Source organism: Homo sapiens, chromosome 5 (assembly GCF_000001405.40).
Source record: "Homo sapiens chromosome 5, GRCh38.p14 Primary Assembly".
Taxonomy (NCBI): Eukaryota; Metazoa; Chordata; class Mammalia; order Primates; family Hominidae; genus Homo; species Homo sapiens.
In genome coordinates, this window is record NC_000005.10 from 150,617,042 (window position 1) to 150,630,301 (window position 13,260).

At 53.5% G+C, this 13,260-nt stretch overlaps 1 protein-coding gene and 1 long non-coding RNA gene across 12 annotated transcripts in view, besides 10 other annotated features; one reads left to right on the plus strand and one right to left on the minus strand.

Annotated features, from left to right (window-relative positions):
* The window catches only part of SYNPO (synaptopodin), a 73,198-nt gene that overhangs the window by 31,032 nt on the left and 28,906 nt on the right, over positions 1–13,260 (plus strand). For 9 of the 11 annotated variants that reach the window (XM_047416688.1, XM_047416689.1, XM_047416687.1 and 6 more), the window contains one exon: positions 1,062–1,726. In XM_047416688.1, coding sequence (XP_047272644.1) covers positions 1,327–1,726 — 400 coding nt within the window. In that variant the 5' untranslated portion in view covers positions 1,062–1,326. Of the gene's footprint in view, positions 1–602; positions 645–1,061; positions 1,727–7,617; positions 7,867–13,260 lie in introns of those variants that run through there. The other 2 variants (NM_001166209.2, XM_024454351.2) reach the window with 2 other exon arrangements.
* On the minus strand, positions 3,882–9,904 carry LOC124901107 (uncharacterized). Its single transcript, XR_007058995.1, has 3 exons — positions 9,622–9,904; positions 5,994–6,073; positions 3,882–5,620 (listed from the first exon to the last, which is right to left on the minus strand). It is a non-coding gene; the product is annotated as an uncharacterized LOC124901107 (long non-coding RNA).
* Positions 6,339–6,398: an enhancer, noted in NCBI's record as "active region_23423". NCBI's record gives its function as "activates an Ori minimal core promoter by ATAC-STARR-seq in GM12878 lymphoblastoid cells {active_cell/tissue: GM12878}" and the evidence as "EXISTENCE:reporter gene assay evidence [ECO:0000049][PMID:35858748]".
* Positions 6,426–6,720: a silencer, noted in NCBI's record as "tiled region #14746; HepG2 Repressive non-DNase unmatched - State 21:Repr, and K562 Repressive non-DNase unmatched - State 20:ReprD". NCBI's record gives its function as "represses a minimal TATA promoter and a strong SV40 promoter by Sharpr-MPRA in HepG2 and K562 cells {active_cell/tissue: HepG2 | K562}" and the evidence as "EXISTENCE:reporter gene assay evidence [ECO:0000049][PMID:27701403]".
* Positions 6,459–6,658: an enhancer, noted in NCBI's record as "active region_23424". NCBI's record gives its function as "activates an Ori minimal core promoter by ATAC-STARR-seq in GM12878 lymphoblastoid cells {active_cell/tissue: GM12878}" and the evidence as "EXISTENCE:reporter gene assay evidence [ECO:0000049][PMID:35858748]".
* Positions 6,998–7,497: an enhancer, noted in NCBI's record as "H3K4me1 hESC enhancer chr5:150003601-150004100 (GRCh37/hg19 assembly coordinates)". NCBI's record gives its function as "activates a minimal SCP1, AML or CMV promoter by ChIP-STARR-seq in primed H9 embryonic stem cells {active_cell/tissue: H9 hESC(primed)}" and the evidence as "EXISTENCE:reporter gene assay evidence [ECO:0000049][PMID:30033119]".
* Positions 7,639–7,798: a silencer, noted in NCBI's record as "silent region_16513". NCBI's record gives its function as "represses an Ori minimal core promoter by ATAC-STARR-seq in GM12878 lymphoblastoid cells {active_cell/tissue: GM12878}" and the evidence as "EXISTENCE:reporter gene assay evidence [ECO:0000049][PMID:35858748]".
* Positions 9,009–9,348: an enhancer, noted in NCBI's record as "active region_23425". NCBI's record gives its function as "activates an Ori minimal core promoter by ATAC-STARR-seq in GM12878 lymphoblastoid cells {active_cell/tissue: GM12878}" and the evidence as "EXISTENCE:reporter gene assay evidence [ECO:0000049][PMID:35858748]".
* Positions 9,009–9,825: a biological region, named in NCBI's record as "H3K4me1 hESC enhancer GRCh37_chr5:150005713-150006428".
* Positions 9,110–9,825: an enhancer, noted in NCBI's record as "H3K4me1 hESC enhancer chr5:150005713-150006428 (GRCh37/hg19 assembly coordinates)". NCBI's record gives its function as "activates a minimal SCP1, AML or CMV promoter by ChIP-STARR-seq in naive H9 embryonic stem cells {active_cell/tissue: H9 hESC(naive)}" and the evidence as "EXISTENCE:reporter gene assay evidence [ECO:0000049][PMID:30033119]".
* Positions 9,826–10,539: an enhancer, noted in NCBI's record as "H3K4me1 hESC enhancer chr5:150006429-150007142 (GRCh37/hg19 assembly coordinates)". NCBI's record gives its function as "activates a minimal SCP1, AML or CMV promoter by ChIP-STARR-seq in naive H9 embryonic stem cells {active_cell/tissue: H9 hESC(naive)}" and the evidence as "EXISTENCE:reporter gene assay evidence [ECO:0000049][PMID:30033119]".
* Positions 9,998–10,067: a silencer, noted in NCBI's record as "silent region_16514". NCBI's record gives its function as "represses an Ori minimal core promoter by ATAC-STARR-seq in GM12878 lymphoblastoid cells {active_cell/tissue: GM12878}" and the evidence as "EXISTENCE:reporter gene assay evidence [ECO:0000049][PMID:35858748]".

A 13,260-nucleotide genomic window follows, 5' to 3' on the forward strand; every position in this document is an offset into this window, starting at 1 on the left:
TTTTTGTGGAATGAAAGAACAGCCAACATGTATTAAGGTATGGCTTAGAAACTGTGCTGAGTCCTCTGCGTGCATTTTTTCATGTAATCCTCAATGCAATGCGAAGTTAGAAATATTACAATACCCATTTTACAGACGGGGAAGTGGAGGTTTAGAGAGGTCCTGTGGCTGGCTTGTTGATCGTCACACAAATGGCAGAGCTAGGATTCTAACTGCAAGCCTGGGCACAGAAACTGAAAGCACACCACTGCACCATCTTCTTTTGTTTTTTTTGGCTGAGTTTCTGCTCTGTTGCCCAGGCTGGAGTGCAATGGGGCGATCTCGGTTCACTGCAACCTCCACCTCCTGGATTCAAGCGATTCTCCTGCCTCAGCCTCCCAAGTAGCTGGGATTACAGGTGCCTACCACTACGCCCAGCTAATTTTTGTATTTTTAGTAGAGACAGCGTTTCACCATGTTGGCCAGGCTGGTCTTGAACTCTTGACCTCAGGTGATCCACCCGCCTCGGCCTGCCAAAGTGCTAGGATTACAGGCATGAGCCACCACCCCCGGACTGCACAGTGTTTCTTGTTGCACAATCTCCTCCAAGGGCTCCTATCCCCAGTTTGCATCTTAGGTCACACCACTCCTGTGATTCCTGTGGTGTAGGTACCTTTGCTGGGATATGAGTGAATTCTTTCTAGGTGGTGTCTAGATACGTGTTGTTAAATAACTAGATATTTATTTAATGTGCATTGGGGGAAAAGGACTGAGCACAATATACTTGTGGTTTCTCTGCAAATATTGCTTAAGATAATTCTAAAGTAATAGAAGTAAGTGATTTCAAGTTGATTAATGGAAAAATATTAGATAAAGTTTCAGGTAGCATGAGGATGTGGTGAAAATCCAGGATGTTAAATGACTGGAGCTTTCGAAACACTTCCCTATGGAAGTGTGGAACCTGCACCCCAAATGCCGACCAGTTCTCAGGGTCACCTGAAGAGGAACAGGCTTCAGAAATTCAGCCTGGAACCCCAAGCGAGCTTTCTCATGTGCTGTTTCTTTCTTCCCTATGCCGATAGATTGCCCCAAAGCGGCCTCACACCAGAGACGGGTTAAGAAGAGGGATTGGAGGTCCACCACTCCACTAGCCCAGGAAGGACTTATCTTTCGTCTCAGCCAGACCTCACCCCAATTCTGTGAATCAGCGGAGGAAGGCAAAAGTGCAGAGAGTCAGAGGAGGCTGTGTAAGGAGCAGAGACCAGGGCTCACACAGCTGGCCCCAGCCCAGGCCCTGGCCCAGGCCCAGGAGCCTGCTTCCCTGCATCGCTGAGGAAGAACAGCACCATGCTGGGTCCTCACCTCCCACCTCCGCCCCTTGCACCCAGCGAAGGGAGGCCTACCCCCTGCGCCTTCCAGATCCCTGATGGAAGCTACAGGTGTCTGGCTCTGGAAGCCGAGGAGAGCAGCGGTGAGGAGGGCCTGCAGGGAGAGGTGGGGCCTACCGACCTGGAAGAGGATGAGGGGGTCAGCAGGAGTGGGGACGACTCTGCCTGCAGAGTCACCCAGGGGACACCGCAGCTGCCCAAAGCCCTGGGCATCCAACCACCCAGCTGCTCCAGAGAGGAACAAGGGGCGTCCCAGCACGACGACAGGGCCAGCCAGGACTGGGATGTAGTGAAGGCCGGGCAGATGATGACAGCCAGCCCCAGCCCTGGCCCTGGGCCCAGAGTGGCCCAGAAACCAGGTAAGCTTGTGTTCCTTTTCCCTTGGACTACCAGAGTCACTGGAGACCCCCCAGGTCCTTAGTACAAGGGCTCCTGACCATATTTTTCCATGATCCACAGTAATTCATCACAGTCCCATGGGCATGCCCAGATTAACAGCTGTGGAGAGATAGGAGCGACAGCGAGCTACGTGCAGTTCCAGCTGCACCACATCTAACCCCACTCCTTTCTCTGCCAAAGAGGGCACGTGAGAAGGCAGTGAGAGAAAGCCACATTATCTTGCTTGGCTAAAAAAAAAAAAAATGCCCATTTCCCACTCTCGTCTGCCTTTTAATCATTAGCGGCAACAAATCACTGCGGTGTCCCAAGCAACCGATGGGGCAGAACCCTCTCATTAAATGGATTGAGTGCTGGCTACGTGGGGGTGCTGGGGACGCGGCACTGGACCAAACGGATGTGGTTGCTGACCTCATGGAGCTTGGGAGGTAGAGACTGAAGCCTTTGATAGAATTTGACCCCCCAATTTTACAGGTGGGGAAACTGAGACTCAGAGTGAGGAAAAAGACAGCTAGAGGTCACTCAGCGTGTTAGTAGTGGCTGAGCTAGGCCCACGTTCCTCGCCTAGGCCTTGGTTTTTCATTTGTTAGAGGTGACAAGGGCAGATAGAACACCACCTAGGCTGCAGTGAGATCCCATGACAGCGTGTGGGGAGAGCACAGTGTGCGCGGCACGGAAGGAAGGAAGGGCAGGAATGATGATAATTTTCCTGCAGCGGCTGCTGTCTGCAGAGCAGGGCGGGACAGGGAAGCCCACGCTGAATCACCTCCACAGCCAGCCCATGGAAACGCTGAAGTGGGTCCAGATGGGGAGGACGTGAGCAGGGCCATGCTCAGCTCAAGCAGGAGCCGCAGCCAGTAGATCCCGGGGGTGCAGGGCATGCGGGGGACACAGTCCCGGGAGGGCTTGTGCGTCAGGAAACTGAAGGAACACTTCATTTCTCTGCAGGCGTCGTTGACGCCCGGCTGGCATCTCACCAGCCTTCCCGCCCACTCTTCTCTCTGAAATAATTCTCTCCAGGCTCTGATCACCCCCCATGGCCACCATTGTCTACCAGGCTGGGGTCACACAGGGGGCTGGGCAGGAGCAAGAAAGGACCTTTAATCCCTCTAGGGCAGGAAGAAGGAGGACCCCAGGGAGGCACTGCAGTCTTGAACTTGGAGGTGGGCCCTCACACCAGAGTCCGCCCAAATTCAGTCTCCTACAGTCTGAAGTTCCCAGGACCTGCTCCCATCCCTCTCACGGGCCCAGGCTGGGGTCAGGAGACATAGATGCTTTCTAGACTGGATGTTGCCGACTAGCCAAGCCCTAGCAAATCCCTTCCCCTTGGTGAGCTCTACTTTCCTCCTCTGTGAAAATAAAATAAAAATATGAGTCTTATCTACCTCAAAGAGCTGTTAGGAGGTTGCAATGATCTTAGTTGTGGCAGTGTTTTGGAAATTTTAGAGTAATCTAGATAGGTATGTAAGAAACGTTTATACCTAATTGAAATGACCATCATCAGCTCAACAATAGGACTGCTATTATTTGTTAGAAGCCTTTATGTGCTAAGCCCTGTGCCAAGAGCTTTACCCTTTTCATTTCATTTAACCTCGTAGCAATCCCCATGAGGGACATACTTTTATTATTTTCATTATACAGATGAGAATATAGAGGCTCAGGAAATATATGTGACTTATCCAAGATGCATGACTAGCAAGCTGCTAAGCCATGATCCAGTCATGGTTTTTTGAACACGAGGCTTGTGCTCTTGGCCACCACTGTCTTCTGGAATTATAGGAGTAAAGTGTTGTCTGCGGACATCTTGGAATGGAAGAGCCCATGGATGGAGAGGACAGAAGAAGGCACTACCTTTAATGAACTCTGTTGGCAAGTCACACCAAGCCAGTTCATTTGATAGCATCTCACTCTTGTTATTGTACTCTCAAGGCAGGCAGGTATTATTCTCCCCATTTTACAGGTGAGGCAACTGAGGCTCAGAGATTTAAGTCCCCTACCCAAGGTCACACAGCTAGTGCCAGAGCTGAGACTATGATTGTGTTCTTGCCTGGAACAGTATGGTTCATTCCTTTCTTTTTCTTTTTTTCTTTTTTTCTCTTTCTTTCTTTCTTTCTTTCTTTCTTTCTTTCTTTCTTTCTTTCTTTTCTTTTCTTTTTTTTTTTTTTTGAGATGGTATTTTGCTCTGTCGCCCAGGCTGGAGTGCAGTGGCATGATCTCGGCTCATTGCGACCTCCGCCTACCGGGTTCAAGCAATTCTCCTGCCTCAGCCTCCCAAGTAGCTGGGATTACAGGTGCCCGCCACCATGCCCAGCTAATTTTTGTATTTTTAGTAGAGATGGGATTTCACCATGTTGGCCAGGCTGGCCTCGAACTCCTAACCTCAGGCGGTCTGCCTGCCTCGGCCTCCCAAAGTGCTGGGATTATAGGCGTGAGCCACCGCACCAGGCCTCATTCCTTTCTTTACTGTCCAGCCAGTCTGTCATCCAGTTCTGTCCTAGAATATTTCTAGGGACAGAGGGGGCAGAAAAGACTTCAGAAGGATGAAATGGGCAGGGAAGACTTCTTGGAGATGGAGGCAGGAAGGAAGCTGGGTCTTGCAGGAGAGTCAAAATCCGGTGGTCTTGGGTCAGAGCCCACACTTGCCTTTCTGCTCCCTTGGGAAAGGGAGTGGCTAGAGTTCCTTCTCCCTTCCTGGAGATCAGGAGGGAAGAAGGCTGTGGGGCTGCCAGGTTATTAGCGGATTAGGGCTTCATTTTAAAGCTTCCTGCCATTACCGCCGAAGGATTATGAGCATCTTCAAACAATTACATCCATCCTTCCGCAATTGTACCTGCCTCTCTAGAGGGCTCACAGGCAGGTTTAAGTATGAGCCACTATATCTTCTGCTTTGGGCACTGCAGATACCTTTGTTTGGGGTCAGTGGGTACCAGTGCCATTTCTCCAAGGCCTGAGTACCAGCTGAGCAGGGCAACACAGGGCCCTGTGGGCAGGCTAGAGGGATAGAGGGTACAGAGAGATGCCATCAGCTGCTGCCAATTTGGGAAAATAGATCTGGGGAGGAAAGGGTAGTGTAGAGCTCATGATCAGGCCTCAGCCAACACTAGGGCCCCCAGCTCACCAAGACAGCCCCATGCTAAGCTGCCCTCCCCAAAGTCTCAGCTGGTCATAACTGGTAGCGTTTCTTGAGATTGTTGTGCAGATGGAGACTCTGAGTGCCAGAGATGGCAAGTGACTTGTCCAAACTCACACAGTAAGTTGGTGGCAAAGCTAGGGCTGGAACCCAGGGCTTATGCCTCCCAGTTCAGCTGCCCAGCACTGTGCTAAATGCGCCATATGGAGTATTTAATCCTATAAACAATCCTGTGAAGTTCATACTTTTCTTATCTCTGTTTTACAGATGAGGAAACTAAGGCATAAGGAATTTAAGTGAATTGTCAAAGTCTCACAGCCTGTGGGTGGAGGAGCTGAGATTTGAACCCCAGGAGGTCTGGGCCCATGCTTTTAACCACCCTCTCTACTGCCTGTCTCCATGGTGATGAGGCAGCAGGCTGTGTTCTTCCACCCACCTGGGGCTGGGAAAAGGTTGTTCAGGCTCTGGGAGTTGTTGGAAGATTTTGCCAAGCCAAATTCCCTCCCACTCGGATGCTCTGGGGGAAACCTGGGTACTCACCGCTGATGCCTCCCTGCCTTTGCTGGTGGCCACTTGTTATTGGAGGCTGGAGGTGTGTAGCAGATTTAGAGCCACTTCCAACTCTAGTGGACACTGTTCTGAGCCTCTGGGGTGGGGAGGGGTGTGGGTCTGTGTTGTCAGATGAGTCCTGCCACTGGACATGTCTGTTTTGTTCAGGCAGAGGGACCTGTGTGCGTGTTAACAGCTGACAGTGGTCACTGGGCCCAGAACAAGGCTCCTGCTCCTCAGGCTGTGACAGAGAGGGCAGATGGAGCAGGAGCCTGGGCAGGAAGCTGCCTACTCCCCCTCCACTCCCCTGCTCCACAGTGATTGTAACAGGAGGGTGATGGTGAGGAGCACTGCTCACAGGTTCACATACACCTCACCATGCACTCACACATACATGCTTTCACATCCATCCGTAAACACACATGTATCTACACATGATGTATAGATGCCATGTTCTCATGCAAACCATCACACATATGCACTCACACAACTGCACACACATGGAGGCCCTCAGACACACATCCATGCATGGGGTACACACTGGCACATACCTTCCTGAAGGCCCCCTCACCCATGCACAGCTGCCACATGTGAACACGTCTCAGATTTGCTTACAGAGCTGCAGTTGCATCTGAAAACATATAAGCAGACATAGGCACACTTTCTCACACAAACACACATATTCCCTCTCATAGATACAGGTGAAAAGCATGTTCTTTTCTCCATTTCCTTTTGCTACACACCTACACTTTGAAATCTTTCACACATTCTCTCCTACAGACCTAGCCACTCTTGCACACCCACTGTCACACACCTACGTACAGACCGAATCACTTTCTCTCCTTTCTTTTCCACATCTCTTTCTCTTTCATACCACCCACACAGCAATCCTAGCCTCTCTCTCTCTTTTCCTCTCACCCACACACAGCTTCCTGGTTTCCCACAGGCTGGGCTGCAGCCACTTCCCTAGAGCAGGCACTCTCAGGGTTAGCGATACCCCAACCTGGTGGGGGTCCCAGGATCCCACCCCCACCCCTCACTCTCCCAACCTGCCCTCTACCCTGGGTACAAGATGATGAGAGCAGAGCAGCCACACGATCAGAGGAATTCTCTGAAGCCCATGAGGCCAGGAGGAGAAATGGGAACTGCCAGGGAGGGTTCCTGCATTCTGAGTCTCCCCAGTGTGAACAGGGGACATCCCAAACCCAGGCCACCTGCAGGTCTGTGTTTCACAGGCCCTTGTGTGGGGTGGGCTTACGCTAGCACATTCCTAACTTCCTTTAGCAGAAATCTAAACACACAACTCTTGATGCAAAAGACAGATGAAAGTGGAACCACCCTGGTCAAGGGGGTGGGGAACCCGGGGAAACTTCGGTGAAAACCTAGACCAGCATTTCTCCAACCGTGGTTCTGTTTCAAAATTGCTGGGGCTGTGGAGGGTACTTGCCATCAGTCCTGTGCCAAGCCCACCAGCTCGTGCCCTCAATGGGAGTGGTGCTGGAATGTGGGTATCTGGACTTTTAACAGCATCCCACGTGACTCTGATGTACATGGCCACTGCCATGGGGCTTCGCACGCTCAATCTGAATGGCATTTTGCTCAGTGAAAGGTGGGGAGCTGAGCCCCAGAGCTGCCATACAGCACCCTGCCTTGTTGCTGACCCACTGGTGAAGTCAGGGGATGGCAGCAGGTGGGTGGGGACATGGTCACCCTTCTCAGTGCCCATTTGCCTAAGTTCTACCAAGAGAGACAGTTATTCTAGTTACTGGGGCTGAGACATAGCGGGGAAGATGGGCCTGAGCACCCAGGTCTGAAAGGAGAGCCAGGAAGAGGTAGGGTGGGAGGTGGTACCAGTTATGGGGACAGAATCACAAAGGCAGATTTCAAAGTGGGTAGTGGGTGGGTTAGAGAAAAGAAAAGGGGACACAAAGAAACTGTCTCCCTCCTAGCCGAAGGAGATAGGAGGATTTTAGGACAGACCGACCGACCTAGCGATACAGAAAATGATAAGGAAACGGAGAGACAGACAACCAGGCAGCAGAGAGTGAGGCACAGCGAGAGGAAAGAGAGGTGCCCCCGCCTGGAGATGGGAGGCTGAGCGGGTGGAGGAGGGAGTCGCACCCCCAGGGCTGGGCGGGGCGGGGCGGGAGGGGCGGCGCTAGGGCCCCGGGGAGCAGGCAGCAGGAGCACGGCTCACCCGCCCGCCCGCCCGCCCAGCGCTCCCGGCTCCCAGCCCGGGGTCCCGGAGCAGCCCGCTAGGCGGTGGCGGTGGCGGCGGCGAGGAGGGGGCGTCGGGCGCGGAGCCTGGGCCTGGCGCGGGGCGGGGGTGGCGGGGACCTCGGGGCGGGGCGCGCTGACGGACGCGGCCAGGTGTGCCGAGGCGGCGGCGCCCGGGAGCTCGGGGACCGTGCGCAGCGGCTGGAGGTGAGTGAGGGGCGCTGGCCTGGCAGGGGTGCGGGCACCGCGCGAGCCTCGCCCCTTCCCACCTGCGCTATTCCCGGCGCCGCCCAGGAGGAGGTGGCACATCTGGGCTCCAGTCCTCGCACGCGGGGTGACCTTGGCCAAGTCGCTTCTACACTTTGGGCCTCAGTTTCCCCATCTGTAGGTGGGGGGCTGGAGGGGTATCGAGGCTTTCGAGCAGCTGAGGAGCGGGAGGACGCCCTGACGCCGGGAAGCTACCCTCCTGGGCTGCGTGGGGGCTCCAGCCCTTGCGCCCCTCCCCGCAAGCGGATCAGGGCGAGGCAGCCCCAGGCTTACAGGTGGGCAACAGCCCAGAGTCTGTCTCCCCAAGCCCGTTCTGGGAAAAGTCGGACCGACTTGACCCAGGATAACCCAGGCGGGTTGGGCTCTGCCCAGAATTGACCAACATGGGCGCCGTGGGGGCAGCGGGAACGGCCAGTGCTGGGCCTCCTCACTCCTCCCTGCGGGCGGGGCGACCGGGCTCTGGGGTCTGGCTGTGCCGGTGGGGCACACAGGATGCCAGAGCAGTCACACCCTGGGGACCACCCAGCCCAAGCCCTACCTGGAGAAATCCAGGCCTTTCCCCAGCGCCTACAGGGAGAGGGGAAACTGTCCTGCGCTGCCCGCCTCACAACATCTTTGCAATTGCCCTCCTTGCCAAGGTGAGAGAGAGGCCCCAGAGGTGAAGTTAGTGGAGGGCTCGGCTCCTTTCTAACCGCTGCGCTGTGGAATCAGGGGCACTGTCCAGAGCCCTGGCAGGACCTCTTTGAGGACTCAGGAAAAGGTCTCCTTTGCTCCCCCCATTACCCCAAGTTATGGGCGTATTCCGGAAGGTGCCAGGGAACTCCGTCCATGGGGTCCAGGTTGTCTGGAAGGGACAAGAGCTGAGTGGGAAGCAGCATGTGCCCCATCCCCCATCCCCCACCCTGTCCTGAATGGCAGGTGGCACTGGAATAAACCAACTTGTTATGTGATCTTGGAGCAAGACCCTTGCTCTCTTGGCCTCCGGTGAGAGGGTTTGGCAGGGTAGCCCCTGAGGGGGAAATTGCACTGTGGACAGCAGTGCTGGTGGTAGCTGTAGGGCTAGTCAGAGGGTGCCCTACCCCCTGTCCATTAGAAAGTGGAAGTGAAACTGGATGCTGATGGGGGTCTAGGGTACACTGGGGCAAGGGGTTGGAAGCCTTACTGGCGCCAGCCTGCCTTGTCACCAAGCCCAGGCCTGGCCCATTCCATGTTGGGGGGCACAGCCACAAACTGGAACTGATGTGCTCCCCCACTACTTGCCATATTGTCTCAGGCAGGCAGATGAGATCCCTCAGGGGAGTTGAAAACCCCCCGGGGAGCTGAAAAACCCTGTTTGCTGGGTGGGGCATCCCCTTCCTCTGTCTCCTTAGGAGATCTTGGTCTGGTTCCTCCCCTTCTCTGGTCCTCAGTTTTTCCATCAGTACGAAGGGGATGGCCTAGGATCACTCTAGCTTGATATTCAAACTTCCCCCAGGAATGTTGTTTACCACTCTGGCTTGCAGCCCCCACTTTCCAGGCCTGCCCCGTCTTTGCAAGCCATGGGCCGGCTCCCCTCAACCCCACAACTGACACCTAAATTAAGCTGTGGTTGGAACCAGCATTTACATGGCTAAATAAGGCCTTTAACTCCTTCCCTCCCTAGTCAGCTGTTGCCCTTATCTACTCCCCATCCCTTAAGGTAGGAAAAAAACCAACCAAATCAAACCTGTGGCATTCAGGCGCGTGGTTCCTGGTGCATCCCTAGGTTCTTCCGTGGCATTTTATCCAGTATCCGATTTTAGAATTGGGGAGACTGGGGCCAAGGAGGGGAAGAGGTTTGCACAGAGTGATTCTGTGGGAAGGAGGCAACAGAGCTCCCTCTCCTTGGGAAAGAGCACATCCTTAATAGGTGAATGGCGACATGAGTGTCCATGGAGCACCTGGAGAGAGAGGAGAAGCATGGGAGGAACCTTCTTCCATCTTCTCTCCACCCCTAGTCACAGCCCATTTCCAGGGCTGACATGTGTCTTCCTGAGCCCACGTCACAGCTCTGGGAGGTGGGCAGGGCAGGAGTCAGCACACTCCTTCCACCTGCCAGGGCTGCCCTCCCACAAGGCTGAGCACACCTCCAGGGCCCCTGCCTGGCCTGGGAGGCACCTTTTCCTTCAAGGCAGCTCCCAGGCTTCTAGACATGAGCTCATCGGAGCTGCTGGTGCCAGGAAGGGAGGGACTGAGGGGAAGCAGGCAGGGCTGCCCAGATCAGGGCACCGTGGGCCCGGGGAAGTACAGGGGGGTGCTACTGGTGAGGCCCTGCAGGCTCTGGTCCCCATTGTAGTGAAGAGACAGCAGCAGGATAGATCTGCTGAGGGTCAACTGGGGAAGGGTGGAGATGGGCCAAGTGCCCTGGGCTGTAGTGCTAGGCCAACCTCTGCTGCCCACTCACTTACTGTGTGACCTTGGGTAAATCCCTTTCTCTCTATGGGCCTCACTGTCCCTGGCTAGCAATGGGTTGGGATGGGTGCTTAGACACTGAGGTTGCAGTAGTGAATAAGACAGACAGGCCCCTGCCCTCAAGGCACTTGCATTTTAATTGGGGAGATAGAAAAGAAAAAAGGAAGCAAATAAATCATCAAGATAATTTCAGATAGGTAAAAGTGCCATAAAAAAATAAGTCATGCTGTTAAGATGGAGAGCAGTTAGGGGGCTACCGGGGGTTGGTGATTAGGAAAGTCCTCTCTCAGAGGTGACTTCAGAACAGAGACCTGAATCTTATTTGAAGCAATGCTCAAGGCTTTCTGGGGAAGGTGTATCTGCAACTGGAGTCTGGAAGAATGGGGAAGCTGGGGTGGGGGAGGATTTGGTTGGGAGGAAAGGTTTCCCAGAAGATGGTCATGCTCTGGGGCTAGGGGCTGGGACCAGTGGCAGGGACTGGAGGGTGGGGGTGTTGGTTGCATCCCCAGGGGCTTCAGACTGCAGATCCAAAGGAGCTCCACCTGAGATCTGGTCAGAGGGGCGGCTGGGCCTGCCTGCAAAGTGGCTCTGCTAAGTTAGTCGTGTGTGTGTGTGTGTGTTTCTGTGTGTGTGTGTTTCTGTGTGTGTGTGTGTGTGTGTGTGTGTGTGGTCAGAGTCTTTTGTGAACTGTCCCTGGATATTGGGGCTCAATTGCTACCCAGTGTGGCCAGAGGAGGAGTCAACATGGAAGCAGCCTGTAGGCCCTGTAATTCCAAAGGCTTACACAAGCCCTCTGTTTGGAATGAAATCTACCAACTGGCTGCTGCTGCCTGAAATTCCACCAGCCTAGCTTCAGCTTTTCCACTCGGTGAGGCAGGGTCGTATAGTACTGTGCAGACCCTGCCCTACCCTACCCTGTCCAGCCTCCCAGGGTTGCTGCGGGTGGAACAAAATTCAGTCTACTCCTAAATTCTTGGAGGCATGCCTCATGTGTGGCTAATACACAGATTCTGTGGTTGGACCTCTGGGTTCCCTTCCTGGCTGGCTGGGAGATCTTAACTATGTTATGTAACCTCTCTGGGTTTTTGTTTCCTCATCTATAAAATAGAAACAATAATAGACCCTGTTGTATACTGTTGTTCTGAAAATTAAATGAGATGATGATAAATGCTAAAAAAAAATGAGCTACCATTTAGGTATTGTGAGGTTTTGATCTCTGTTAAAATAGCGGTCAGGTGTGGTGGCTCACGCCTGTAATCCCAGCACTTTGGGAGGCCAAGGCAGGGGGATCACCTGAGGTCAGGGGTTTGAGACCAGCCTGGCCAACATGGTGAAACCCCGTCTCTACTAAAAATACAAAATTAACCAGGAATGGTGGTGCATGCCTGTAATCTCAGCTCCTCAGAAGGCTGAGGCAGGAGACTCGCCTGAACCCAGGAGGCAGAGGTTGCAGTGAGCCGAGATCGCGCCATTGCACTCCAGCCTGGGAGACGGAGTGAGACTCCAGCAAAAAAATAGAAATAGCAAGTTCTTAAGGAGATGGGCTCTCGCTTAAGACTAATTGTATCTCAGTATAAGTTACTTTTTGATGTTTGGCCAGGAACAGGTTTTTTTGTTTGTTTGGTTGGGTTGTTTGTTTGAGACAGAGTCTGACTCGGCCACCCAGGCTGGGGTGCAGTGGCATGATTATGGCTCACTGCCGCCTCGACCTCCTGGGCTCAAGTGATCCTCCCACCTCCTAAGTAGCTGGAACTACAGAGATGTGCCACCGTGCCCGGCTAATTTTTGTATTTTTAGTAGAGACAGTGTCTCGCTATGTTGCCCAGACTGGTCTTGAACTCCTGGGCTCAAGTGATCCATCTGCCTCAGGCTTACAGGCATGAGTCACCATGCCCGGCCTAGGAACAGGTTTTGATGGTGGGAGAATAGGCACAAGCACAGCGGAAAATGCCTGGACTGAGCTTCAGGAACGGATGCTCGAACCTCCGCTCTTAGCTGACTGGCTGGTGGTCTTGGGCAAATCATTTGCTTCCTCTGGGCCTCAGGCTTCACTTCTGACTGCTGAGATATGGGCTAGTAAGGATCTGAGGGGATCATGGGTGTGACAAAGCTCCTTACTGGCTTGTCACCAAGAACATGGGGCTAGCAGGAGGGGCTGACACCATGGTGTCAAGGGTCAAGGAAGGGGCAGGCTGGATGAGCCCCTGGGACAGGAGAGTGGGCTAACCTGAGACCCTTGCGTGTAATCCTCCAGAATAAAATCTCTTAGAGTCTAAGAGTGCTTGAAAGATAAAAGCCACAGTTCTTGAAAAATGATTGTTTACTGTTATTTACTATGTACCATGGGTGCTTTAAGTTCTTTACGCATCAACAACTCCATGAGGTGAGTACTGTTATTAGCATTTTGCAGATGGGAAACTGAGGCACAGAGAAGTTGGTTAAGTGAGCTTCCAAGGTCGCACACCTGGTAAGTGGCTAGATTCAAACACAGGCAGTCTGGCCCCAAAAACTGTGTGCTTAACTTCTTCGCAACATGGTCTCTCCCACACTAGATGGAGTGCCAGGGGCTCAGAAAAAGCAAGCCACCTATCCCAGAACAGACAGCATTCATCTTTGATCCTCATCATCCCTGAAGCTTAGGTCCTGGAAGGAGGAGCCTCACTGGGTCTAGGGTCCGGGGCTCTGAGATTGGCCCTTGAACCAGCTCAACCTTTCTATTCCCCTGGCAGTAGGTCAGAGAGGATCAAGGGTGCCCTGCAGTCACTGTGGGCATGGAAGGCTCTGCCATGGCCTGATGAGTGGGCGTTGTTAGTGCCTTGGAACTTGAGTGGCTCCTAAGTGCTTGAGTTGTAATAAACTCCCACGCAGTCTGGCACACCGCCACCATTGTACAGTTAGGGGAAA